The sequence below is a fragment of the Homo sapiens genome, chromosome 12 (genome assembly GCF_000001405.40).
Source record: "Homo sapiens chromosome 12, GRCh38.p14 Primary Assembly".
Lineage (NCBI taxonomy): Eukaryota > Metazoa > Chordata > Mammalia > Primates > Hominidae > Homo > Homo sapiens.
The window spans coordinates 31,589,923-31,617,692 of NC_000012.12; the positions used below are offsets into that span (position 1 = coordinate 31,589,923).

At 44.1% G+C, this 27,770-nt stretch overlaps 1 protein-coding gene, 1 long non-coding RNA gene and 3 pseudogenes across 18 annotated transcripts in view, besides 4 other annotated features; 1 reads left to right on the forward strand and 4 right to left on the reverse strand.

The window, feature by feature from the left end:
- DENND5B (DENN domain containing 5B) overlaps window positions 1-1,214 on the reverse strand; it is a 208,911-nt gene extending 207,697 nt beyond the window's left edge. For 16 of the 17 annotated variants that reach the window (XM_047428429.1, XM_047428424.1, XM_047428430.1 and 13 more), the window contains exon 1: window positions 784-1,214. In XM_047428429.1, the coding sequence (XP_047284385.1) occupies window positions 784-910 (127 nt within the window). In that variant the 5' untranslated portion in view covers window positions 911-1,214. Of the gene's footprint in view, window positions 1-463; window positions 521-783 lie in introns of those variants that run through there. The other variant, NM_001308339.2, reaches the window with a different exon arrangement.
- Window positions 1-25,429, forward strand: DENND5B-AS1 (DENND5B antisense RNA 1). The gene is made up of 3 exons (NR_046909.1): window positions 1-197; window positions 11,758-11,932; window positions 25,238-25,429. It is a non-coding gene; the product is annotated as a DENND5B antisense RNA 1 (long non-coding RNA).
- Window positions 245-584: a silencer, noted in NCBI's record as "silent region_4323". NCBI's record gives its function as "represses an Ori minimal core promoter by ATAC-STARR-seq in GM12878 lymphoblastoid cells {active_cell/tissue: GM12878}" and the evidence as "EXISTENCE:reporter gene assay evidence [ECO:0000049][PMID:35858748]".
- Window positions 735-1,004: a silencer, noted in NCBI's record as "silent region_4324". NCBI's record gives its function as "represses an Ori minimal core promoter by ATAC-STARR-seq in GM12878 lymphoblastoid cells {active_cell/tissue: GM12878}" and the evidence as "EXISTENCE:reporter gene assay evidence [ECO:0000049][PMID:35858748]".
- Window positions 1,075-1,364: a silencer, noted in NCBI's record as "silent region_4325". NCBI's record gives its function as "represses an Ori minimal core promoter by ATAC-STARR-seq in GM12878 lymphoblastoid cells {active_cell/tissue: GM12878}" and the evidence as "EXISTENCE:reporter gene assay evidence [ECO:0000049][PMID:35858748]".
- Window positions 1,795-2,024: an enhancer, noted in NCBI's record as "active region_6169". NCBI's record gives its function as "activates an Ori minimal core promoter by ATAC-STARR-seq in GM12878 lymphoblastoid cells {active_cell/tissue: GM12878}" and the evidence as "EXISTENCE:reporter gene assay evidence [ECO:0000049][PMID:35858748]".
- Window positions 4,171-4,284, reverse strand: RNU5F-4P (RNA, U5F small nuclear 4, pseudogene; annotated as a pseudogene).
- RPL31P50 (ribosomal protein L31 pseudogene 50) lies at window positions 7,184-7,486 on the reverse strand (annotated as a pseudogene).
- AK4P3 (adenylate kinase 4 pseudogene 3) lies at window positions 24,321-26,661 on the reverse strand (annotated as a pseudogene).

Consider the following 27,770-nt stretch of genomic DNA (forward strand, 5'->3'; position numbering starts at 1 on the left):
GCACTGCGCCATCAAATGAGTCAAGCGGAAGGACCGGTACCCCTCCGGGAAAACCAGGCACTAACACACGGTGCACCCAACTGAATTTAAACTCGGGAACAGTGTAGGCAGTGTCAACAAAGCGCGGTGCTGGGTCCCGAGCGTCCAAAGGTCCCTGCCAGCTCCCAGACGCGGCCAAATCCACAGGATTCCAAAAGGTGACTTGGCCGGCACCGCAGAGCGGCAGGCGGCGCAGAGGGCAGAGTCCGACCGGTCCCCGCCCCGCGCTCGCTCCGCACGGCCACCGGCTCCTCCGCGGACGCTACCCCGGCGGGAGCCGAGCTGAGTCCGACTCCCCGTCTCCCGAAGAGGCCCGAAAGCCGCGTCACGTGCGGGGCCGAAACTTCGCGGCCGGGGCCGGGTGGCTGGCGGGTGGGAGGCAGGCACGGCGGTCGGGGGGCAGCCCGCGCGCCCGGTGACTCACCGGCCGCCTCCGAGTGCGGCTGCAAGCGAAGGGGCCGGCGCGCCAGGCGGGGTCCGTGCCCTTGGGGCCACCCCCGCGCCTGTTATTAATAACCCAGCGCCTGGAGGCGAAAGCCCCGGTGGGCGCAGCCGCAAAGCCCGCACGCGGAATAAATAACAATGTCATTAAATCGCGCCCGAGCGCCAGTTCGGCCAGAAAGCGGCGGGAGGGCGCCACCGGGAGCTGACTTTGTCTGGAGCCTGCACCCCGCCTCCCGCGCGTCCCCACAGCGTCCCCCGCGCCCCTGAGGGGGCTCAGCGCCGCCGCAGCCCTGGCCTTACCCGCCAGCTCGTCAGGCTCCAGCCCGCTGTCCGCGTCGATCCCGCACAGCACGAAGTAGTGCGCGAAGCGGCAGGCGGCCGGGGAGGAGCCCGAGCCCGGGCCGGGCGCCGCGCAGCTCCCGCTCATCCCGGCCGCGCTGCTCCAGGGGCCGCCGCCGCCGCCGCCCGGGAAGGCTTTCTGCGGAGGCTGCCACCACCGCTCCGGCTGTGGTCTGTGCGCCCGCCCTAGGGCGACACTGGCGCGCCCATGGCCGCGCAGCCGCCTCTCGCCGCCGCAGCCTGCCTCCTCGCTCGGCGCGGGGGAAGCGGCCGCGGGCTCGCGCGCGGCGGGTCCGGAGCCCGGCCGGGTGGGGGAGGGGCGCGGGGGGAGTGTCGGCCTGAGAGGCCCTCGCAGCCGCAGCTGCGCTCGCGAGCTGAGAGCCGCCGCGTCTGGCGCCCGCGGGTCAGCTGAGCGGCGCTCGGGCTGTGGGAGCGCGGGGCGGGCGGGGGCGCCGGGGCTCGGCGCGTGCGACGGAGAGGGGTGGGGGGCGCGCTCGCGAGGGACGGAGGCGCGCGCTTCTACCGTGCGCGCGCGCCTAGCGGGTTCGGAGGCCAAGCCTGGCGTGGGGCCGCATTCGTGCCCACTGGCCCCGGCTGCGGCATCGAGGGCGACCCTGCACACACCCCTCCTCGCCCTGGCCAGCCGATAAGAGGGCTAGCCTCAGTGTGGGGGTCTGTCTTCTAAAGGGGTTGTCACCCATCCTTATTTCTTTTAATGCAGCTTTGGGGAAGGTGAACAGCCGCTCTGAGATCATTTCGCATAACGGTCTGAACCATCGTCTTTTAAACTGTGACCTGTGTGGGGGTGCCTGTCTCACTTTAAGGTCCTCCCTTCCCCCAGCCGTCACCCCATTTACAGGCCATCCTTAGTGACTTAGTGACAAGTCAACCGTGAGGGGGAAAAAACACAACTCAATACCCACAAAGCGTTGAGACTTCTAGAAGGAGTGCAGTCACCAACCCCCGCCTTCTGTCATTTATCCTGACATTTTCCAGGTCAGTGTAAATAGCCAAGGCGCTCCAGTTCCGCAGCCCTGTACCCATCCGATGTTATCGGCTCTCCCCGCAAGTAACAATCGGAGGCTAAAGCAACAGGAATTAGACCATGAACTCTGCTCCTCCCAAAGGCACGGCTTTCTTGCCCTGCTCAGCTGTCTTTTGCCTTCTCGGAAGGAACTCGACAACCAGTTCTTTTTCCTTTGAAAGAAAACTGGCTGGGCTCAGTGGCTCACACCTGTAATTTACTCAACACTTTGGGAAGCCCAGGTAGGAAGATCACATGAGACCAGGAGTTCAAGACCAGCCTGGGCAATAGAGGGAGACTCTGTCTCCATCTAAGTAAAAAAATAACATTTATTTATTTAAAAAATAATTTTTTAAGAGACAGGGTCTCACTGTATTGACCAGGCTGCTCTCAAACTCCTGGGTTCAAGTGATCCTCCCGCCTTGGCCCCCAAATGTGCTAGGATTACAGGCATAATAAGCCACTGTGCCCGGCCATGTAAGTAAAAATAAAACTTAAAAGATAGAAAACTGAATGCAATTCATCTCCACATGGCAACCCCTTCCACACCACTCCCTGCTTTCTTCTTTGGGGATTTGGGGCATCTACCACTAGACATACAAGCAAACCTTCCAGAGAGGTTGCCTGAGAGAACCTCGATTATTTGACTGAATAATGTTCTTCCTAGAAGATACATGTGCGTGCATACCATCATTTAATGTAGCTTGTATCTTCACTTTCTTTCTTCAATTTTGAAATGAAAGAGGCTGGCCATGGTGGCTCAGGCCTGTAATCCCAGCACTTTGAGAGGCCAAGGCAGGAGGAGCATTTGAGTCCAGGAATTCAAGACCAACCTGGGCAAAATAGTGAGAGACCCTGTCTCTATAAAAATAAAATGAGGCCGGGTGCAGTGGCTCAAGCCTGTAATCCCAGTCCTTTCGGAGGCCAAGGCGAGAGGCTCACTTGAGGTCAGGAGTTTGAGACAAGCCTGGCCAACATGGTGAAACTCCGTCTCTACTAAAAAAAAAAAAAAAAAAAAAAAATCAATAAAATAATAATTAGTAAAATATAAGAAGAATTGGCCGGGTGCAGTGGCTCATGTCTGTAATCCCAGCACTTTGGGAGGCCAAGGCGGGCGGATCACGAGGTCAGGAGACCGAGACCATCTTGGCCAACATGGTGAAGCCCTGTCTCTACTAAAAATACAAAAAATTAGCCAGTGTGGTGGCACGCACGTGTGGTCCCAGCTACTCGGGAGGCTGAGGCAGGAGAATCACTTGAACCTGGGAGGCGGAGATTAGAGTGAGCCGAGATCGCGCCACTGCACTCCAGCCTGGGCAACAGAGTAAGACTGTCTCAAAAAAAATAAGAAAAGAAAAGAAAATACAAGAAGAATCAAGAAATCAGGGTGAGCCACAGTCTGGGTAATTGACCTTTAGGTCATGTTGCACCCTGTACTTCTTCAAAAACACTTGTAATGGCTTTTCTGTGTCTTCTTAGCTGTGTTGTAAACTCCACAGAGCAAGAGTTGGACTCTGTGGTTCTTCACTTTTCTGGTATCTAGCAGAACTCTGGTCCTATTTAGCCCCTCAATTTATATTTGAGTGTTGAAAGAAGAGCAGTTATCTAGGTGATAACAGGTTGTTGATTCTACCAGAAAAATATACAAACTTTAATATCTGTAACATTTTTTAAAAAATAAGTCCTGGGCTGGGCATGGTGGCTCACACCTGTAATCCGAGCACTTTGGGAGGCCGAGGCAGGTGGATCACATGAGGTCGGGAGTTCGAGACCAGCCTGATCCACATGGTGAAGCCCCGTCTGTACTAAAAATACAAAAATTAGCCAGGTGTGGTGGTGCACACCTGTAATCCCAGCTCTACTTGGGAGGCTGAGGCACGAGAATCACTTGAACCCGGGAGGCAGAGGTTGCAGTGAGCCAAGATCATGCCACTGCACTCCAGGTGACAGAGTGAGACTCTGTCTCAAAAAATAATAATAAAATAAAGATTAAAAAATAAATAAAAATAAAAATAAGCTCCACATATGCAAGGCCTCAAAACTTGGTCAGGCCAGGTACGGTGGCTCACGCCTGTAATCCCAGCACTTTGGGAGGCCGAAGGGGGCAGATCACCTGAGGTCAGGAGTTCAAGACCAGACTGGCCAACGTGGTGAAACCCTGTCTCTATTAAAAATACAAAAATTAGCCTGGCATGGTGGTGAGTGCCTGTAGTCCCAACTACTTGGGGGGCTGAGACAGAAGAATGGCTTGAACCCAAGAGGCAGAGGTTGCAGTGAGCCAAGATCGCACCACTGCACTCCAGCCTGGGCAACAGAGCAAAACTCCGTCTCAAACAAAACAAAACAAAACTTAGTCAAAAACTCAGAATTGTTCCCTTCCACGGAAATCTTTAGTAAAAGACAAAAGACGTATACGATCTGAAGAGAAACCAGAGTATGGACCTAATTGTGAACACTTTAATTACTCTTATGCAATATTGCTTTTCCTCACGTAGAAAGTACTGAAATGCATAACATTTCATTAGTAAGGAAGGAAGTGCCAGGTATCTGTTTCTCCTGTCTTCGGTGGTAACTTCTTACAGAATGTTTGTTAGATTCCAAGCGAATCAAACAAACACAGTAAAAAAACTGATTTACTGTTTGCACTAGCCAAGGCACGTCATTTTTTTTTTAAATTTGACCAGTAACTGATTTATGAGTTTGTAAGCCCCACATTAATATTTTTAAGGTGAAAAAAATTGAATCACCAACAAACAATGCATGCAATTAAAATATACTAATCTCATAAAAATAGAATTCCTAAAATCTTTCCTAAAGCTTTTAGGAAAATAGTCACACATTACAAAATTAAACACTAATTTGAAAATATCCGTATACTTTTTTAATTATCACTTCAGGATGACACTGTGTAAGTATATTCTGCATTAAGCTACAATGAAACGAAGTTGAAAGGATACTCAAGAATTAGCTATGTATCATTATATGCAGATTGTCCTCTGAAATAATGACAGAGAAGTAAATTAGCTCAGTGAACAAAAATCTGAGCAATGATCTGCTGTCTCCAAAGGACTTACTGGTAAAGCCTCAAATGGACGGCATGGCATGCTTGGGATAGCTGAGTCCTGCCACGGTCTGCGGAAGTGGAGGAATGAGAGATTGATAGCACTGCTAAGCTGGTGGCACATGGTGACTCTGACTACCAGTAAAATGTGGTCCAATGAATGTTTTGGGCTCTAAATAGTTACATTAGCAATCAATCCCTTCTTTCTTGGTTGTTTATATGTGGCTGGAGTGTGGTGGTGAAGAACGGTGTTGACAAGGATTGTCATAGCATCAAAAGAGAAAAATAACCTCTCCTCTCCTTAACACGACTTAAATATTTTGGAGAGTCCATTCTCCTCATCGTATTTGCTACTTCTCGATCCCTTACAGCCCTCTTTTTTGGGGGGGTGGCGGGTCACTCACCCAGGCTGGAGGGCAGTGGCACAATCTCGACTCACTGCAGCCTCCACCTCCCTGGCTCAAGCAATCCTCCCACCTCAGCCTCCCAAAGAGCTGGGACCACCCACAGGCATGTGCAATCACACCCAGCTAGTTTTTTGTATTTTTGGTAGAGACAGGGTTTCACCCTGTTGCCCAGGCGGGTCTCAAACCCCTGGGCTCAAACGATCCACCTGCTTCAGTCTCCCAAAGTGCTGGGATTACAGGTTTGAGCCACCTTAGAACCCTCTTTTACCCCTTGTTGTTGTTAACCACTTTTTACTAGCTAACAATTATAATAAATTTTCGTGTTCAAATTACTGGTTTCTATCTCCTGACTAATCCATAAGCCAAATGTCCATCACCAGATGAATGGAGAATTAAATTGGTATCCTCATACAAGGGAACACTACTTAGTAGTAAAGAGGAATGAACCACTGATACATGCCACAAGGTGCATGGCTGTCAAAAATATGCTAAGCAAAAGATGCCAGGCACAGAGGAGTCCATAGTGTATCCCTCTACTCATATGAAATTCTAGACTGGGCAGGAAGCAGATCAGTGGTTGCCTGGGGCCAGAGGTGATGTGGTGGGAAATTGACTGCAAAAGGGCAGGAGGGAGCTTTCCGGAGCAATGGGAAAATGTTGTACCTTGATTGTGGTAGTGCTTTCACAGACAGATATATTTGTCAAAACCCAATGTACTCTTACAGCAAATACATTTTTTTTTTTTTGAGATGGAGTCTCACTCTGTCACCCAGGTAGGAGTGTAGTGGCTCAATCTCGGCTCACTGCAACCTTTGCCTCCCGGGTTCAAGCAATTCTCCTGCCTCAGCCTCCTGAGTAGCTGGGATTACAGGTGCACGCCACCACACCCGGCTAATTTTTGTATTTTTAGTAGAGACAGGGTTTCACCGTATTGGTCAGGCTGGTCTCGAACTCCTGACCTTAGGTGATCTGTCCGCCTCAGCCTCCCAAAGTGCTGGGATTACAGGCGTGAGCCACCGCGCCTGGCTAGCAAATACATTTTAATATATATAAATTGTACCTCTTAGCTGGGCATGGTGACGTATGCCTTTGGTCCCAGCTACTTAGGAGGCTGAGATGGGAAGATCGCTTGAACCCAGGAGATGGAGGTTTTGATGAGCTGAGATTGTGCCACTGCACTCCAGCCTGGGCAACAGAGCAAGACCCTGTCAAACAAACAAACAAATAAATAAATAAATAAATAAATAAAATTGTACTCACAAATCTATTTACAAACAAAAAAGAGCCAAAAGATTTATGTCCAGTTTTTATTGCATCCTACTCATTTTCAAAAACTTTTGTAAAGTTTCAAAACTTTACATTTCCTAAAATTCTACTCATTTTGGTTGATTGACAAGGACTGATCCAAATTCTTACAAAAATTTTATTCAATTTTGGTTTTTTTTCAACCAGTATGTTTTGGGGTGGTTTGGTGTGCTGATAAAGGGGACAACCTCCAGACTCTCACTACCTGGGTTCAAATCTCACTTCTTTTAGTATCTATAAGACAATCTGCTTAATGTTACTCTAGCTTTAATTTCCTTATTTGTCCAGTGCAGATCAAAATTAAGTTATTGTGAAGTTTGAAGGAGATAATACATGTAGAGTGCTTAGCACAGTCCCTAGAACATAGAAAGTATTCAATATATGTAACTCATTGTTTCTGTGTGCCAGACACTGAGCTAGACATTTTAACATACTCTATCTCATTATTTTGATTTTTTTTTTTTTGAGACAGTTTCTCTCTCTCTGTTGCTCAGGCTGGAGTGCAGTGGTGTGATTTTCTTTTTTTGGAAGGCAGTTTTATAATTTTATTTGATATATTCGACAATCAGTGGTTAGTTCTCATCCACATTGACTGTCTGTAGATTTTTGAAAGCATAGGGATGCCATATGGGACATTCCTTAATCCTTTGGTCAAGACAGCTTTGTTAAGCCTGGTATCAGTGTGCACATCCGTAGTTCCCATGTCCTTGATGGCAAATTTCCAGATCTCGCTGAGTGCCCGAGGGGCACTCTTCTTGAAACCAACTCCATGAATGCGCTTGTGAATGTTGATGGTATATTCTCTGGTCACCAGCTCACTGATGGCAGAACTGTAATTCTTCTCACCACCCTTCTTTGCGGGAGGCATTCTGAGGGGCCCAAGTTGGAAAGGAAGAGTGCGAGGGATTGTGGGCGAAGTGCAGTGGTGTGATTATAGCTCACTGCAGCCTCCATCTTCCAGGCTCAAGTGATCCTCTCATCTCAGCCTCCCTAGGAGCTGCAGCTACAGGCACATGCCACCATGCCCAGCTAATTCTTTATTTATTTTATTTTATTTTTTGAGTCAAGGTCTCACTGTGCCACCCAGGCTGGAGTGCAGTGGCATGATCAAGGCTCACTGCAGCCTCCACCTCCTGGGTGCAAATGATCCTCCCACCTCTCAGCTCCCTGAGTACCGGGACCACAGGCACAAGCTATCATGCCCGGCTAATGTTTGTATTTTTTGTAGAGCTGGGGTTTCACCATGTTAGCCAGGCTGGTCTCCTAGCCTCAAGTGCTATGCCCGCCTCAGCCTCCCAAAGTGCTGGGATTACAGGTGTGAGCCACCCCGCCTGGCCAACTTTTTATTTTTATTTTTAATAGAGATAGGGTATCCTTACATTGCCCAGGTGTGCAATGTAAGTCTCGAACTCCTAAACTCAAATGATCCTCCTGCCTTGGCCTCCCAAAGTGGGCATGAGCCACCACGCCCAGTCATGAAAATCAGTCCAAGAGGTCTAGCACTTCTTGCGTAGCACTTCAGAATACAATAGGTCATGATCACTTTAATCAGATAGGGCCAATGGAGATATGCAGACCCTAGTTCCAGGCCCACTCAATGAGACATGATAAATACTGAGAGGGGTATAGGGGGGTTGGGGTCACTGAGCCTGTGCTGTGTTGACAAGAGAAGTTCAATGTGGCAGTCAAACTTAGCATCCAAAGTGGGCCACCATCTCTAGATGGCGTCTACACGGTCAGCAAAAGGGGCCGTAAGATTTAGTTGTTGCAAATGGTGACAGAAAGGAGCATCCAAGGCATCTGGCATTCGGAAATCCAGGCAAGCAAGGTGGCGGGGGTGGGGGGGTGGTGGCTCACACCTGTAATCCCAGCACTTTGGGAGGCCGAGGCAGGTGGAACAGCTGAGGTCAGGAGTTCAAGACCAGCCTGGCCAACATGGCGAGACCCTGTCTCTACTAAAAATACAAAATTAGCCAGGCGTGGTGGCGCACACCTATAATCCCAGCTACTTGGAAGGCTGAGGTAGGAGAATCGCCGGAACCCAGGCAGGTGAAGGTTGCAGTGAGCCGAGATTGCACCACTGTGCTCCAGCCTGGGAGACAGAGTGAGACTTTGTCTCCAAAAAGTAAAATAATATAATATAAAATTCCAGGCAAGCAGCTTCAGGAAGTCTATCATGGAATCACAGGTTCTCTCCAGTTGTAATAAGAAGTCAAGAGGATATAGTGGGTTGAATTGTGTCCCCAAAAAGGTGTGTCCAAGTCCTAATCCCTATACCTGTGAATGTGATCTTATTCAGAAATAAAATATTTGCAGATGTAATTGAGGATCTCATCTTGAGATCCTTAATGCAGTGCAATTATAGCTGAGTGGGCCCTAAACCCAATGACTGGTGTCCTTATAAGAAAAGGGAGATTTGAGATATTGAGACACACATAGGCGAAGATCATGTGAAGACAGAGACAGAGCTTGGAATGTTGTTGCCACAAGCTAAGGAGTGCCAAGCATTGCCAGCAGACACCAGAAGCTAGGAGAGAGGGATGGAATGGATTCTCCCTGGGGGTCCCCCAGAAGGAATCAGCCCTCCTGACACCTTGGTTTTAGCCTTGTGGCATCTAAAACTGTGAGAAAATTAACTTCTGTTATTTAAACCACCAAGTTTGTGGTAATTGGTTGCAGCAGCCCTAGGAAATTAATGTAGAGGGGAACCTGCAAGGGCCCAGCCTGAAAAAGGAACTAGAGACCTAGGTAGGTTACCAGAGCGGAACCCAAGATACTAGGACCGAGGGCTCCTGGAGAGAGACACTTGCATATAAGGCAGAAGCTAAATTCTAAGGACCTACGTACAATGACAAAGTCTAAATACAAAAGACGGTGACAGGACTTGGTAGAAGGTCCAAGCAGAACCCATTTGTAGCAGAAAATGGGGCAGGGATAGGCCTGAAAATCCACATCAAGTGTCCTCATCTATGGGAAGGAAAAGCTCTAAATAGACCAGAAACTGAAACAGGGTAGTGGTGTTGTTGTTGTTGTTGTTGTTGTTTTGTTGTTGTTGTTGTTTTAAAAGCAGAGACAAAGTCTCGCTATATTGCCCAGGCTGGTCTCAAACTCATGGGCTCAAGCAATCCTACCACCTCAGCCTCCCAAAGTGCTGGGATTACAGGCATGAGCCACTATACCCAGCAGGATTTGGGTTTTAAAAGGTCAATCAACAACTTCATCTTTCTTCCCTAAGATTGGAACCAATTGAGAAATAAGATATAGGATGCCAACAGATGGAGAACAGTTTCTATTATTAAATGTAGCCTCTGTTAATGCTAAAGCCGGCTGGGCACGGTGGCTCACACCTGTAATCCCAGCACTTTGGGAGGCTGAGGTGGGCAGATCACCTGAAGTCAGGAGTTCAAGACCAGACTGGCCAACATGGCAAAACCCCATCTCTACTGAAAATACAAAAATTAGCCAGGTGCAATGGCGCACACCTGTAATCCCAGCTACTCGGGAGGCTGAGGCAGAAGAATCACTTGAACCTGGGAAGCGGAGGTTGTGGTGAGTGCAGATAGCACCACTGCACTCCAGCCTGGGTGACAGAGTGGACTCTGTCTTTAAAAAAAAAAAAAAAAAAAAAAAAAAAGGTAAAGCTGATCTGAAGAAAGAGCAGGTCTGTGGCAGAGATTTGCTACATTACTTTCCATCCCTTCAATCTTTTCTTCCCGCTGACCAAACCCTGGCTCAGGCCACCGAAGGGGATATTTGAATCTGTAGAGCATCTACATTTAGTTCAGTATTGCTGTCCCATGTAAGCCCCAGGTGGGAAGGAAATAGAAGACTCTCCAATGCTTGCTAACTTTAATTAGATTAGCGCCATCCAATGGAGAAATGAAGACCATGAACTACTTTGCAAACCTAGCAGGCAGGGGAGGGGTGAAGTGGGGGCCAACAGTGTTACTGTAGTAGAAGTTCCTCTACATGGAAACGTGAGGCAAGAGGAAAGGAAGTTCCTCCCTAATAGGTGGCTGTTTAATCAGAATCCATCCCCTCCTCCTTCGTTGTGTAGTGTTCATGTCCTTCACATGGTATTGGGTTTACACCTAGCTCTAGGATGTCTTTGTGAACCTATATTCCTTTTAAGAGTTACTGACTCAGGGATGAACAGTTATCCTAAGCTGGCCTAATTAGGATGAGGTTCAGAACTTTTGTTTGATAGTTGGAGAAAGGAACATCCTCTTCTTACCTTGGGTGTAAATATGATATATACCGTCCCAAAATTACCAGTAGCCTTACAAGGAAAGCCAGGCCAAGGATGAAGCCAATATACAGAATGGAGCAGAGCCAAGAATATCACTGAAAAGTAGACTATATTATAAACTCTGGCTCAAATCATACAGGAAGCCTACTCAATATCTGGAATTTGTCAGTTAATGTGAGCCAATGAATTCCTTTTATTGTTTCAGCCAGTTTGAGTTATTTTCTTTAACTTTCAACTGAATGTTTACTCTCAAAATAAGGGGAATAGTCTCTAAGATCCCGTCCAGTTAAAAAAAAAAAAAAACCTTATGAATCTAAAAGGAGGCCAGGCGCGGTGGCTCACACCTGCAATCCTAGCACTTTGGAAGGCCGAGGTGGGCAGATCACGAGGTCAGGAGATCGAGACCATCCTGGCTAACACGGTGAAACCCCGTCTCTACTAAAAATGCAAAAAATTAGCCGGGCGTAGTGGCGCATGCCTGTAGTCCCAGCTACTCGGGAGGCTGAGGCAGGAGAATGGCATGAACCTGGGAGGCGGAGCTTCCAGTGAGCTGAGATCGCGCCACTGCACTCCAGCCTGGGCGACTAAGCGAGACTCCGCCTCCAAAAAAAAAAAAAAAAAAACTGAAAGGAAAGAAATATAATTCCATATTCTAGAAAAAGCCCCAGAACTAGCTCTTCTTTCTTCTTTTCTTTTTTTTGGGGGGACGGAGGCTCGGTCTGTTGTCCAGGCTGGAGTGCAGTGGCGCGATCTCGGCTCACTGCAAGTTCTGCCTCCCGAGTTCACGCCATTCTCCTGCCTCAGCCTTCTGAGTTGCTGGGACTACAGGCGCCCGCCACCAGGCGCGGCTAATTTTTTTTTTTTTTTTTTTTTTTTTTTGTATTTTCAGTACAGACGGGGTTTCACCGTATTAGCCAGGATGGTCTCAATCTTCTAACCTCGTGATCTGCCCACCTCGGCCTCGCAAAGCGCTGGGATTACAGGCGTGAGCCTCCGCGACCGGCCAGAACTAGCTCTTCTTAAGGATGTGACAGTGATCTGCACTAGAGCTTCAGGCAGCTAAGGTAGGCTTTCCTGGAAATCAGCCCATAAGATGAGAAAGAAATCTTTTTTTTTTTTTTTTGAGAAGGAGAGTCTCGCTGTGTCACCCAGGCTGGAGTGCAGTGGCGCAATCTCGGCTCACTGCAACCTCTGCCTCCCGGGTTCAAGCGATTCTCCTGCCTCAGCCTCCTGAGCAGCTGGGATTACAGGCGTGTGCCACCACGCCCAGCTAATTTTCGTGTTTTTAATAGAGACGAGGTTTCACCATCTTGGCCAGGCTGGTCTTGAACTCCTGACTTTGTGATCTAACCACCTCGGCCTCCCAAAGTGCTGGGATTACAGGCATGAGCCACTGCGCCTGGCCCAAGATGAGGAAGAAATTTTAGCAGCCTTCTGCAGAAGGTATTTTCCTGGGTTGGCTGGGTTCCTTCCATCAAACCAAAATCAAGAGTATATGAGTAGAAATTAAAATGCAGATTTTCTATCAAAAGTTAGAATACTCATACCCTCTGATTCATCAATTCTGCATCTCAGACTTTCTCCTACAGAAATATGCAAGTAAAGAATATGTGTACAACGTCCCCTGAAACATTGCTCATTATATTTAAAAGTGGAAACAATCTTATTCCTACCAATAGGAAATAGGAAGCAGTTAGCTGGGTGTGGTGGCTCACATCTGTAATCCCAGCACTCTGGGAGGCAGGAGGTTCCTTTGAGCCTAGGAGTTCAAGACCAGTCTGGGCAACATGATGGAACTCTGCCTATATTAAAAATAAAAAGTAAAAAATATAAAAAAAAATTTTAAATAAAAATAAAAAAGACAAAAAATGAAGTGGTTAAATAGATTCTGGTATATCTGATACAATGCATGCTAAGAATGAGGTTACACTGATGGAAAAAATATCTAATATATGGCTGAATATAAAAGGCAAGAAAAGACAGCTGGGTGTGGTGGCTCACACCCATAATCCCAACACTTTGGGAGGCTGAGGTGGGCGGATCACTTGAGGTCAGGAGTTCAAGACCAGCCTGGCCAATATGGTGAAACCTCGTCTCTATTAAAATTACAAAAAATTAGCCAGGCTTGGTGGTGCGCACTTATAGTCCCAGCTACTTGGGAGGCTGAGTCAGAAGAATCACTTGAATCTGGGAGATGGAGGGTTGCAGTGAGCTGAGATCGTGACACTGCACTCCAGCCTGGGCAACAGAATGAGACTCCATCTCAAAAAAAAAAAAAGCAAGAAAAGAAAAATATATAGTTCCTATTTTTGTGTTAAAAATAAACTGTATACATGTTTGTGCATGAAAACATCTGAACAGCTTCCATTTGTTATTTTTCATATTTCTATATTGTTAAAAATTGACAACAGGCATCTATTGCTTTTTGTAATTCAAAGCCTTTCTTTCTTAAGTCCGTGTGTGTTTCTGTGAGAAAAGATGATCAGCATTGTGAATCATGGCTATTCTTATATAAATCACTCAAATTTGTAACTATTATAATGACTTATTAGTGAGACTAATTTGAATAACTATACATATATGCATATGTATACATGGATGCATGAACATTCATTAATTACTCAACAATTCTTATAATGCCTACTATATGCCAGGTAATGTTCCAGGGATATATCAATGAATAAAATCCTAGAGATATATAATGCTGTACATATATACATTCAAAATAGTCTGAAGAGTATAAATAACTATGAAATTGAAAGGATTAGCCAGGTGTGATGGCATGTGCCTATAACCCCAGCTACCAGGGAGACTGAGGTGGGAGGATTGCTTCAGCCCAGAGTTGCAGGTGGAAGTGAGCTATGATCGCACCACTGCACTCCAGCCTGAGTGACAGAACAGAGACTTTGTTTCTTAAAAAAAAAAGTAAAAAAAGAGAAATGAAACAAAGTTTGCATAATTTTCAATCATCAAAAAAACCAATTTGGCTACTCAGTGATTAACTTGATTTTATGTTACAAATTTGTAATCTTTCTCAATTCCATCTAAAAACCTTAAGGTTGAAAACACTCCAGTAGCCAACGGAATAACACTATCAGTCTTGATCTGAGTATATTTTGGATCCAGCATCTTTAAACTCTGGCCACATGCCAGACTTTGAACCTGAGTTCTCTGTTACAGACTTCACATGTGATTTCTCTCTCTCGCTCTCTTTTTCTTTTTTCTTTTCTTTTTTTTTTTTTTTTTGAGATGGAGTCTCACTCTGTCACCCAGGCTGGAGTGTAGTGGTGCGATCTCAGCTCACTGCAACCTCCACTTCCCGAGCTCAAGTGATTCTCCTGCCTCAACCTCCCATGTAGCTAGGATTATGGGTGCCTGCCACCATGCCCCCTGCTACATACAATTTCTCTTGTTCTTTTTTTTTTTTTTTTTTTTTGAGATTAGGTCTCACTCCGTCATCTAGGCTAGAGTACAGGCACAATCATGGCTCACTGAAGCCTCCACCTCCCAGGTTCAAGTGATCCTCCCACTCAGCCTCCCAAGTAGCTGGATCACAGGCATATACCAGCACACTTGGCTAATGTTTCTTTGTTTGTTTGTTTGTTTGTTTGTTTGTAGAGACTGAGTTTTGCTGTGTTGCTCATGCTGGTCTTGAACTCCCAGACTTAAATGATCTGCCCACCTCAGCCTTGTGAAGTGTTGGGATTATAGGCATGAGCTATGGAGCCTGGCCTTCACATGCAATTTCTAACACCTCTTTTAAATCACAGAAATCTCACTCATCTATTCTTTCCCACTTTGAATTCAGAGGCACTTGTAACTGGTCCCACACCTTTTAGTATTGCAATATTATTCTAAGTGTATTAATTGTTTTAGTCTGTTTGGCCTGCTGTGACAAAATGCCATAAACTGAGTGGCTTATAAACAACAGAAATTTATTTACTGCAGTCTGGAGGCTGGGTAGTCCAAGGTACCAGCAAATTCATTGTCTGGTGAAGGCTAGTTTCCTGGATGATAGATGGCACCTTCTCACTGTGTCCTCAGGTGGTAAAAAGAAAAGAACTAGTTCTCCTGGGGTCTCTTTTATAAAGGCACTAATCCCACTGATAAGGTACCCGCCTTCATGACCTAATCATCTCCCAAAGGCTCTACCTCCCAACGCCTCACATTGGGGGTTAGGATTTCAACATGTGAATTTGGGGAAGACACAAACATTCAGACAATAACATTAATGTTTTCTTCCCTACTTGTGCAGCTAAGAGCTTCCGGAGGTAGGGAGCTGTTTTCTCTCACCTCACATCCACACATCACACAGTTTATACTTTCAGAAGATTGATTGATTAAATGCATCCCTCAGCCTCCCCAACAAAGGCCGTATATCTACTCTAAAAATAGAACACAAATCCTCTGTCCTTTTTAGTCATAATCAATGTGACTGTTCATAAGGCAATTATTTTAAGTTTAGCAATTTAGCCATAATCCCATTATTGAATTAGGCTTGAAATCTTAGAAACTTCAGGATGTTTATTTGCCATGGCTCCCTTCTAAGCAAACATCATCCTCCAAGTCTATATCCCCTCCACAGGCATCATTTCTAAGGAGCAATGTTAGCTTACATAATAGTTTTTGGAAAATGTTTTGGAAAGTATCTATTCTGTTTGAGGAAAAGTATGGACTCATTCTCCTCTCTCTCTCTTAAGAATTCTTCTCCTGTGACTATTTCCTTTAACTTCAGACTCAAACAGTAATTAAAGATGGCAAGAAAAATGCCAGGAGAAAAGCCCATTTAATTGTACTGTTGGAATAATTGTTCCTGACTTCTAGCTTGCCCATTGTAATTTTGTGGGTTGGGGGGAGGAAAAAAATTAGTATCAGACTGCAGCAATCTCCAAACGAGCCAAAATTATAATCTGGTGAGTGCCTATTTAAAGTAACAGAATCCAAGGCAACATAAGAGGCTTAATTTTGGCTATGCATGTTATTACCTAAGAGTAGGAGAGAGCATTATCTAGTAGCAAAAAGCCAGGAGCATGAATCAACCACTTTAGATTTATACTCCCCTTTAGAGTTTACGATGGATAAAATAACTTTATGTCCCTGTGTTTAGCTTCTCTGTCCTTAATATATAAGCAAACTCTCTATCATTCAGCGAAATTGTTGTCTATATAAGCTGAAAAAAACATCAAGCTCCTCAAACAGGTTGACTAGTAAATAAATGGCCCAACACAAAAAGGGTAATCTCAGTTTTAATTTTTTTTTGAATTGACAGATAAAATTATATGTATTTACTGTGTATAACAATATTTTGAAGTATATATACATGGTATAATGACTAAATCTAGCTAACATATGCATTACCTCTAATCTCAATTTAAATTGGGGAAATCATACTTTTCTTTTACTTTTTTTTTTTTTTTTTTGAAATAGAGTCTCCCTCTGTTGCTCAGGCTGGAGTGCAGTGGGACTACAGGCGTGTGCCACCATGTCCAGCTAATTTTTTTTGTATTTTTAGTAGAGACAAGGTTTCACCATGTTGGCCAGACTGGTCTCAAACTCTAGACCTCAGGTGATCTGCCAAATTCAGCCTCCCAAAGTGTTGGGATTACAGGCGTAAGCCACCTCACCTGGCCATATTTTTCTTTTTCTATTTTCAATTTTAAAAAATGTATTATTAAGTAGAGACAGGACCTCACCATATTGTCCAGGCTGGTCTCCAGCTCCTGGGCTCAGACAATCTTCCGGCCTCTGCCTACCAAAGTCCTGGAATAACAGACGGCAGACATGAGCCATTGAACTTGCCCCATATTTTTCAAAAGTGAAATTTTGCAGGCACCTGTAGTCCCAGCTACTCAGAAGGCTGAGGTGGGAAGATCCCTTGAGCCCAGGAGTTCAAATCCAGCCTGACAACACAGCAAAATCCCATCTCAAAAAGAAAAAAAAAGGCCGGGTGCGGTACGGTGGCTCATGCCTGTAATCCCAGCACTTTGGGAGGCCAAGGCAGGCAGATCACCTGAGGTCAGGAGTTCAAGACCAGCCTGGCCAAGGTGGTGAAACCCTGTCTCTACTAAAAATACAAAAATTAGCCAGGCGTGGTGGTGGGCACCTATAATCCCAGCTACTTGGGAGGCTGAGGTGGGAGAATTGCTTGAACCCAGGAGGCAGAGGTTGCAGTGAGCTGAGATCACGCCATTGCACTCCAGCCTGGGAAACAGGAGGGAAACTTCGTCTCAAAAAAAAAAAAAGAAAGAAAAAAAAAGTGAAATTTTTTCTCTAAGGTAGATTATACAGCCGATCCTGAACAACACTGGTTTGAACTGTGTGGGTCTGCTTATATGCCAATTTTCTTCTGCCTTTGCTGCCCCTGAGACAGCCTGTTCTTCCTCCTCCTCCTCAGCCTACTCAATATGAAGATGATGAGGATGGAGACTTTTATGAAGAGCTACTTCCACTTAATAAACAGTAAACATACTTTCACTTCCTTATGATTTTCTTCACATTTTCTTTTACTTAGCTTACTTTAAGAATACAATACATAACACATATAACATACAAAATATGTGTTAATCAACTGTTTATATTATCCATAAGGCTTGTGCTGTACAGTAGGTTATTAGTAGTTAAATTCTGGGGGAGTCAAAAGTTAAATGCAAATTTTCTACTTGAGGAAGTGTCGGTGCCCCTAACGCCTATGTTCAAGAGTCAACTGTAATTCAAGTTATACATTTTAATTTTTTTCTTACACTAGTAAATACCAGACTGAGAGGATTGAAGGTTTGACTCATTTCACACATCTTTGCTTGATCTCCTTAGCTCTTATAAACATTATTAAATGTACGGTCCTTTGTGATTAAATTATTATCATACGTGTGATATGAAATAGACTTCTGAGTTGGGCATGGTGGCTCATGCATGTAATCCCAGCAACTCAGGAGGCTGAGGCCAGAGCATCACTTGGGGCCAGGAGTTTCAGAGCAGCCTGGCAACATAGCAAACTCCATTTCTAAAAATTATTTAATTAATTCAATAAGAAAAATTTTTAAATGACTACTAAAAAATCACAAAAATAATAGCATATTTTAGCCTTTAAAAATTAGTAGAGATTGGGTGCAGGGGCTCATGCCTATAATCCCAGCACTTTGGGAGGCTGATGTGAGAGGATCACTTGAGGCTAGGAGTTTGAGACCAGCCTGGGCAACATAGTGAGAACCTGTCTCAACAAAAAATACAAAATCCAGCCAGATTTGGTGCCATGTGCCTGTAGTCCCAGCTGCTTGGGAGGCTGAGATGGGATGTGTAGAAAGTAAAAAGTTTTCTCTTCAAAATTTCCCTTCTTGTTAAAGAATAAATCATAAGTGTTAGAAGTAATAGTTTCTTTTAAAGAGTAACTTCCCTCAAGCCTCCTTGCTTTATGCTAATAACTCTTGGTTAAGCCCTATCCTATGTAGCTGCTAGATATAAGGGAATGAGTACATTCTATGTCTTTGTACTTTAACCAAGATATTTGTTTCCTTTCATAAGCAACTTCCTCTTTTTCTTTGTTCTCCTTTGCTTTTACCTATTTAGGAAAGTTTTAAGTTATTAGCCAGTCAGGTTTAATTTAGATTGTGAGGTCCAGCTCCAGCCAATGGAGACAGGACACATTAGCAGGGACAAGCTGTGTAAGGAATAAAATTGCTTCCCTCCTTTGTTCAGGTGTGGTCTCACCATTGTTCCATCTGTGAGGAGCACCCTTTCTGCAGAAGGTAAAATTGCCTTGCTGAGAAAACTTTTTGTCTAAATGCTGATTTTTCCTTGTGGTACCAAGGAACAAGCATTCTATTTCTAAATAAACATTTTTGGCGGGGGGAGGGATAGCATTAGGAGATATACCTAATGCTAAATGACGAGTTAATGGGTGCAGCACACCAGCATGGCACATGTATACATATGTAACTAACCTGCACATTGTGCACATGTACCCTAAAACTTAAAGTATAATAATAATAAAATAAAAAAATAAAAAAAAACACAACATTTTACTTCTAACAGGAGGGTTGCTTGAGCCTGGAAGATCAAAGCTGCAGTGAGCCATGATTGTTCCACTGCACTCCAGCCTGGGTGTCACAGTTAGACTTTGTCTCAAAAAAAAAAAAATGAAAATACATAAAAATGAAAAATAGAAATGAATAGAGAAAATAATAGGTAACCCTCAGACATCAGTTTTGAAATTTTAAGTTATTAAGAACATAAAATTAAAAAAAGAACATAAAATTCAAGCTTACAATACCCACTTAAGCCTTTTTATAAATTCCCTTTCTACAAATCTATTATAGTTATCTATAAACTGAATCCATTATAAATACCAGTGAAAAGAGTGAGTGAAGAATATCTTACTTAGGGATATATACTATATAAGGTATAGCTAGAAATTTTAAAATATGGTGGAGCCACCTTGTCAACATTGTTGGGTAAAAAGTGAGTTCTGGAGATGCCTCTAAGATAACATACGGCCAGATTATAATAAAGAAATAAGACAATAACAGAATTTAAAATGTTTAACTTTTAAAAAGTTACCAAAAAATGGAAAGCTTATAAGGTTAATATCTGAATTTAGGCACTAAAATATTGTCCATCTTGTAATGTATTTTAAAATGTTATCACTGGCTACAGGCAGGCATTAGCTACACAAACGTAGCAATTAATGTGACAGCAGTTGAGTGTTGAGGCCAAATTAGAGGGAATTATTTATTCTTGTTGCTAAGATTGGAAGTGTATAGGAGGCACCCAGAAGCTACTATAAAAGAGGTTATGGTTAAATACACACTACTTTTTATATTCGTATTAAAACATACAATTTCACAAAATCCTTTCAAGAAAAGCAACCCTAAAGCAAGTGAAAGGTAGAAAACAATTGCAATCTCATGTCTGTTTTGAACAAATCTCGAATAACTATTGAGCTTTTTTCTTAAACTTTTTGTTATAGAAATTTCCAAACACACACAAAATAGAAAGAATAGAATAATGAGCACCCATGTATCTATTACCCAGATTCAACATTTATCAACATATGGCAACATTTATCAACATATGGCCAATCTATTTCATTTACAACCCCTCTGCTCTCACCCCCTGCACACTAGATTATTTAAAATCAACTGTTGGTCAGGGCATGGTGGCTCATGCCTGTAATCCCAGGACTTTGGGAGGTCAAGGCAGGGGGATCACTTAAGGTCAAGAGTTGGAGACCAGCCTGGCCAACATGGTGAAACCCTGTCTCTACTAAAATACAAAAATTCACCAGGCATGGTGGTGTGCACCTCTAATCCCAGCTTCTCAGGAGGCTGAGGCAGGAGAATTGCTTGAACCCAAGAGGCAGAGGTTGCAGTGGGCCAAGATTGTGCCACTACATTCCAACCTGGACTATAGAACGAGACTCCGTTTCAAAAAAATAAAAAATAATAAAAAAATTAAAAATAGGCTGGGCACAGTGGCTCATGCCTGTAATCCCAGCACTTTGGGAGGCCAAGGCGGGCAGATCATGAGGTCAGGAGATCGAGACCATCCTGGCTAACACAGTGAAACCCCATCTCTACTAAAAATGCAAAAAATTAGCCGGGCGTGGTGGCTGGAACCTGTGGTCCCAGCTACTCAGGAGGCTGAGGCAGGAGAATGGTGTGAACCCAGGAGGCGGAGCTTGCAGTGAGCTGAGATTGTGCCACTGCCCTCCAGCCTGGGCGACAGAGCAAGACTCCGTCTCAAAAATAAATAAATAAATAATAAATTAAAATTTTAAAAATTAAATTAGAAAAATAAATTAAAAAATCAACTGTCAGGCCAGGCATGATGGCTCATGCTTGTACTCCCAGCGCTTTGGGAGCCCAAGGTGGGCAGATCACTTGAGGTCAGGAGTTCAAGACCAGCCTGGCCAATATGGTGAAACCCTGTTTCTACTAAAAATACAAAAATTAGCTGGGCATGGTGGCAGGCAACTGTAATCCCAGCTACTCGGAAGGCTGAGGCAGGAGAATCACTTGAACCTGGGAGGTAGAGGTTGCAGTGAGCCAGGATGGTGCCACTGAACTCCAGCCTGGGGAACAGAGCAAGACTCTGTCTCAAAAAAAAAAAAAAAAAAATCAACTGTCAGATATCACATCAGGTCATTCCATGAGAAAATACTGTAATACGTATATCTAGGAGATAAAACTCTTTTTGTCTTTTCAAGGCACAATCAGAATTCCAGTGTCACATCTACAAAAAATGAACCCCTTAATATCACATAACATACAGTCGGTAATATTAAAAGTCTTACTGGTCAGGCACGGTGGGTCATGCATGTAATCCCAGCACTTTAGGAGGCCTAGGTGGGAGGTTCACTTGAGCCCAGGAGTTCAAGACCAGCTTGGGTGACCCTATCCCTACAAAAAAAATTTTTTTAATAAAAATAAAAAAATAGGTCTTACTTATAGTCACATAGCTTAGATAATATTTAGTAGTAATATAAAATGTTTTCAAATTGAACTATATAGGAATCTAAATTTTTGAGATTATTTCCATGTAATACTTGAATTGTTTGTTGTATTAAAATTACCCTAAACTGAACATATAAACCACATTCCCATGTTTAACAGATAGGTTGGTTAATTTTATCCAAGGTCTAGGAATATAGCAAGTTGATTACAGGACAAGAAACAGCAAAACTGAAATCCAACTTCTCTGCTTTTGAAAATAACCTCTCTGAATTCAGAAAAGGAGTAATATCTTGATAGCCTACTTGCTAAAGCCATGGCTACTTTTCAACTGGTTTGTACTGCTATTGTTGCACTCAATGTTAAAATATTAAAATTCTTCTGAAAAGGTTGGTAACCAGCTACTACCCTGTACTCCCAACCCGAACCTACCAGATTCTCTTCCCCCATTCCTCAAACCCTGACTTCTCTGCCCCTGGGAAGAGCAGGCCTGGGCTCCCCGCTCCACATCCCTCTTCACATGGCATCTGCATGTGGTCTGTACAGCAAGGTAGTTGGACTTCTTAAGTGCAGGTCAGGGTTCCCAAGAGCAAAATGTGGAAGATACCAGTCTTTCCAATACTTAAGCCTGGACTTAGCACAGCATCACTTCTGCCATATTTTATTGGTTAATAGAGTCACAAGGCCAGCCTAGATTCAAGGAACTATACTGGGGCCTGCATACCAGGAGTGTTTCATGGGGTCAAGGGAGGTGGAGGTAATCAATGAAACTGGCAAGCACACCATGCCAAGGTTCAGTATATTTTACCTATTGTATGACTATCTGGCAGCTGAGAAAAAAGAAATACTCTAAATGGCTCAGCTGTATTGCAAACTATAGCATCTTTCCTAATGCAGAGTTGTACAAACTAGAGTAGAGAGGGCTTATGAACTATTTTGAGTATAGGAGTCTTTGCAGCAACTTGATCAAAAAGCATACACCTAGATATGGAAATATTTTGTTATACAAACTCTTTGTAGATATATGTGTTATAATGAAATTTCCAAGCTGGGTAAGGTGGCTCACACCTGTAATCCCAGCACTTTGGGAGGCCAAGGTGGCCAGATTGCTTGAGTCCAGAAGTTTAAGACCAACCTGGGCAACATGGCAAGACCCCATCTCTGGCCGGGCGTGGTGGCTCACGCCTGTGATCCCAGCACTTTGGGAGGCTGAGGTGGGCAGATCACGAGATGAGGAGATCGAGGCCATCCTGGCTAACACGGTGAAACCCCATCTCTACTAAAAATACAAAAAATTAGCCGGGCATGGTGGTAGGCACCTATAGTCCCAGATACTCAGGAGGCTGAGGCAGGAGAATGGTGTGAACCCAGGAGGCAGAGCTTGCAGTGAGCCGAGATTGCACCACTGCACTCCAGCCTGGGTGACAGAGCGACACTCCGTCTCAAAAAAATAAAGAAAAGAAAAGAAAAAAAAAAGACCCCATCTCTACAAAAAAGAAAAAAAAGAGACTACTTCTCTACAAAAAAATTTTTTCAAATTAGTCGGGTGTGGTAGCGTATGCCTGTACTCCCAGCTACTTTGGAGGCTGAGGCAGTAAGATTGCTGGAGCCCAGGAATTCAAAGCTACAGTGAACTATGAACACCATGCACTCCAGCTAGGGTGACAGCGTTAGACACTGTCAAAAGAAAGAAAGAAAAGAGAGAGAGAGAGAAAGGAAAGAAAAGAAAGAGGGAAAGAAAGAAAAAGAAAGAAAGGAAAGAAAGAGAGAAAGAAAAGAAAAGAAAAGAAGGAAAGACGGAAGGAAGGAGAGAAAGAGGGAAAGAAGAAAGAAAGAGAAAGAAAGAAAGAAAAGAAAAGAAAGAAAGAGAAAGAAAGAAAGAAAGATCTATTCTCTTAACCAGACAGCATAGTATAGCAGTTAAGTACAGGACTCTGGAGGCTGCCTGTCTGGGTTTGAGTCCTACCTGGGCTGCTTACTCACTAGTGGTCTTGATTTCTTTTTTTTTTTTGTCCCTTTAATTTTACTTTTGTCAAAACATTTTCAAGATTACTTTAATTTTTACAATATCATTTAAGGGAAAACTAGTGAGTTTGTTGAAGAAAACAAGAAACAGATTTTTTTAAAGCCATTGACCACGAAATAAGCATTATGTTTCAAAGACCATGAAAAAGTTATTTGTCTCTTTTTGGTCTCAACTAGCGAGGGAGGTGAGACCAAACTGCTCAACTGCTGGACAATCTCAGCAAACACACCCACTGTTGAGACTTATTGAGTGACTCAATGTTGGCTAGAATTGTCCATTTAGCTGGAGGGGAAGAGGGAGGGAAGGATGGATGGAGGAGTGAAGTATGGAAGCAGGCATCAGGCCACTTCCCGTACCTCTCCCAAACTCCAAAGGCAATGATCACATTGGAGGGTCAGCTAAACACAAAGGGAAGTGAAGAAAGAAGTTTGAAGATTTTCCTGTTTCCAAAAATCACATACTTTCCTCTTTTGAGTATTCTATAGAATAACTCTCTACATTTCCTAGTTTGTGGAAATTTTCTCTACGGCATAACTACTCTAAATTGTGCAATTTTCCTCATATCAGACTTATTTTTCTCTATACCTGGTTCCCTAGCAAACCTGAGCTTTATTTATATATCTGATATGCACCCCATCTCCACAGCTGGCATTCAATTGCAACTCTAAATTCTAAAGTGCTCAGGGTCAATATAATGCACTGACGATTCAGACCTGACTGGGCATTTTCACTGCATAAATCTAAAAAGTAAACAATCTCATTATGTTTGAGAGGATGGATGGGGAGAAGACTGATCTATATTTCCACTAAGGTAGCCAAGAAATATTCACATGAAGGGACAATGGGAGAGGAGCTGGCAAGAGTTTGGGCAGTACTTGGAAGATGCATTCCTTATCATATAGATTACATATGGCAGTGAATTGACAGAGGATTCACTGGGACATCTTCAGAAAGTAAGTAATGTGTTTCAACACCACTAAAGTGTTAAAATAGGCCTCTTTTCTTCTCGCCAGTATGAAAAGTTAGACAGGAGTCACTCCCAAGAATAGTAAAGGACACTCACTGGGGACAGTCATGATGGGTGAAGAAGGGATACATATTTTTAAGGCAGCAGGAATAAATTTCATCATCCTTCCCAGAAGACAGCAAGAATTATTCAAGGTGGCCACCAAGTCTGGAAACCAGGCAAATCTTTTAACAAATGGTTTATTGATATGTTATAATGAATGACAAAATATTAGTATCTAATTCTAGACTTTATGGCCACCCCATAGGATGAATCTTTGGAACAGAAAAAAAAATAAAGAATTTGTTTTCTCATAATCATAAAGCTGCTATACTCAGTCCAGGCACAGCTAGTACAACATTCTGCTCAACCCCACAGGCTCCATTCCCTTTACCACATATTTATAATATGTTTGGGTCACTCATAGGAGTGAAACACTGTCAGCATCAATAGTTAGCAGCACTTTCAAAATACATTTTATTGTCCCGAATAGAAACCTTAACTATTCAATTAGTCCAGTAATTCCAAATGGTCTTATTACTTCTATACATAAGATATGATCTTACAACATTTATGTAGCTAAATACTTAACTTCCCATGCTTTTTGAGGATTCCCAAAAGACTTTAGGGGGTTCCCAAGACTTTCAGGGTTTTTTTTTTTTTTCACAATAAAAGAAAGGAACAGTGTCAATCCATAAAGTCAGACCAGCAGTTTAATAAGATCCTCTTCATAGCTCAGTTCTCAGTGCATACAGAGATTCAATATAGCCCCATCACTCTCAGTTATTAGAATCTGAGAGGGATAAGAGCAATAACTATTGTTTAAAAGCCTAAGAGTGAAAACAGATGTCAAAAAAAAAAAAAAAAAAAAAGCCAAATTCTTTCATCCCAGGATATCTGAAAAGGAGAGACTCTATGGAGTGTGGATGTAGAAAAGGAGTTATTCCTACCGGAAAAAAATGAACTGTGGACACAGTCACTCAAGACCAGAGAAACAACCACTATGAGTAAGTAGCTTCAATTTCACTGTTACCAGGAGGGCACACACCAGAAAGCCTGGGACAAAGCCTGGGCTAGAGCCCTCAGGATTCATTCTCAGGCTTCCTGGTGCTGTGGTTCAACAGCCTTTGTGGGGATGGGGAGAACCAGAGACTATCACCATCACATGTAAAAAATATTACCACAGCAACAGCTGTCAAAAACCAGCTGGAGCTGAAGTTACACACCATTTGAAATCCACACTGTACTTGCTTTCTTGTGATGGGCTTGAGACATGTGCAGAGACACCTTAAACATGTGTAGGTGACCACCCTTTTGAAAGGCAGAGGAGGGCCTCTTCATGAACTCTTTCTACTCATTTGTTTTCCTATCAGTTCACCATTTCAACTAGAAAAGATGCTGCAAGCTACCTCAGCTAGCTTCTAATTTGGACACAGCACCAATACTACACACACTATTGAATGAATGACCACATCTTCCTGGTTCTTCCATTGGGCAGGGTCAATATGCTTCTTTGGACTGAATAGGTGTGATCTTGTTTGAGAAAAGTGTGTAAACGTAGGGCCAGATTTTGTTCGTCTCCGTTCCGGAAAATTGGTGGAGCACTCCTCGGCTCTTGTATAATTCAATGACTGGCTTTGCCGCGTCTTTGTACTGTCTTAGCCTGGCAGCAACTGCTTCGGGTTTATCATCCTCCTGCTGGACTAATGGTTCACCAGTGACGTCATCAATACCATGTACATGAGGTGGATTGAAGTCCAGGTTATATACCCTTCCGCTAGGAGGGTGAATCCAACGGCGGCTGAGACGATCTTTAAGTGTTTCAAATGGAATATTCAAACTGATCACTAGATCCACTTCACAGATTTTGTCCAGGGCCTCGGCTTGTCCTAATGTCCTAGGAAAACCATCAAGGAGCCAGTGCTGGCCACGCCTATTCTCCAACTCGGACATCATTAGGCGTGTGATCACATGGTCTGGAACCAAAAGACTTTTCTCTATATACTGCTTTGCCACCTCACCAACTTCGGTGCTGGCCTTGATGTTCTCCCGCAAGAAGTGGCCGCTGGAGAGATGCTGGAGACCAAAGTTCTGGGCGATCCTCTGGCACACGGTGCCCTTGCCCGAGCCGGGCGGCCCGAGGATGACCGCGCGCAGGAGTTTGGAAGCCATTGCCTTCGCGAGGAGGGGGGCGGTCAAACGCGCAGCCCCGACCGCGGCCCCGGAGGGAGCCCCGGGAACTTTGTTTCTCGGCCCCCTACCTCTGGCACCCTCCGCTCTCACTGGGACTCGCCGGCCGGCCCTACAGGGGGAAGGCGGTCTTGATTTCTTAATCTCATGCTTCAGTCTCCTCACCTGCAAAATGAGAATGGTGATAATAGGACCTACATTAGGGATGTGATATTGTGAAATATTTATTTGGTCTTCCTACCATCTCCTGGCATAAAATCTTTGGAATCTCCCAAGTGATAAGTGTCTTTTTGTAACCTAATGAGTTGACTGATGGCTGGCAGCCCCTAGGTGGCTTCAGGATGGAGGTTGGGCACGTGAAAGACCAAGACAAAATCAGAGAGTTATGATTTTCAGCCCTATCCAACTTCTGGGAAGGGGAAGGGGCTGAAGGTTAAGTTAATCCTGACGGCCAGTGATTTAATCAATCATGCCTACATAATGAAGCCTCCATAAAAACCCCAAAGGTCTGGCTGGGGGAGCTTCTGGATAGCTGAACACATGGAGGTTCCTGGAGGGTGCCTCTCACCCCACATAGGGCATGGAAGCTCTATGCCCCTTCCCATACCTTGCCCTATGCATCCTTTCAAGTATCCTTTACAATATATATATATTTTTGAGACGGAGTCTTGCTCTATCACCAAGCTGGAGCGCAGTGGCGCGATCTTGGCTCACTGCAACCTCCAGCTCCCTGGTTCAAACGGTTCTCCTGCCTCAGCCTCCTGAGTAACTGGGACTACAGGCACGTGCCACCATGCCCAGCTAATTTTTGTATTTTTTGTAGAGATGGGGTTTCACCATGTTGGCCAGGATGGTCTTGATCTCTTGACCTCATGATCCGCCCACCTTGGCCTCTCAAAGTTCTGGGTTTACAGACGTGAGCCACCGTGCCCAGCCTTTTTACTTTACTTTATTTTATTTTATACAGAGCCTCACTCTGTCATCCAGGCTGGAGTGCAATGGCACAATCTTGGCTCACTGCAACCTCTGCCTCCCTGTTCAAGCGTTTCTCCTGTCTCAGCCTCCTGAGTAACTGGGATCACAGGCACCTGCCAATAATATTCTTTATAATGAACTGATAAATGTAGATATGTATTTCCCTGAGCTCTGTGAGCAGCTCTAGCAAATAAATCCCCCAAGAAGGGGGTCATGGAACCGTGATTTATAGTTGGTAGGTCAGAAGCACAGACAAAACA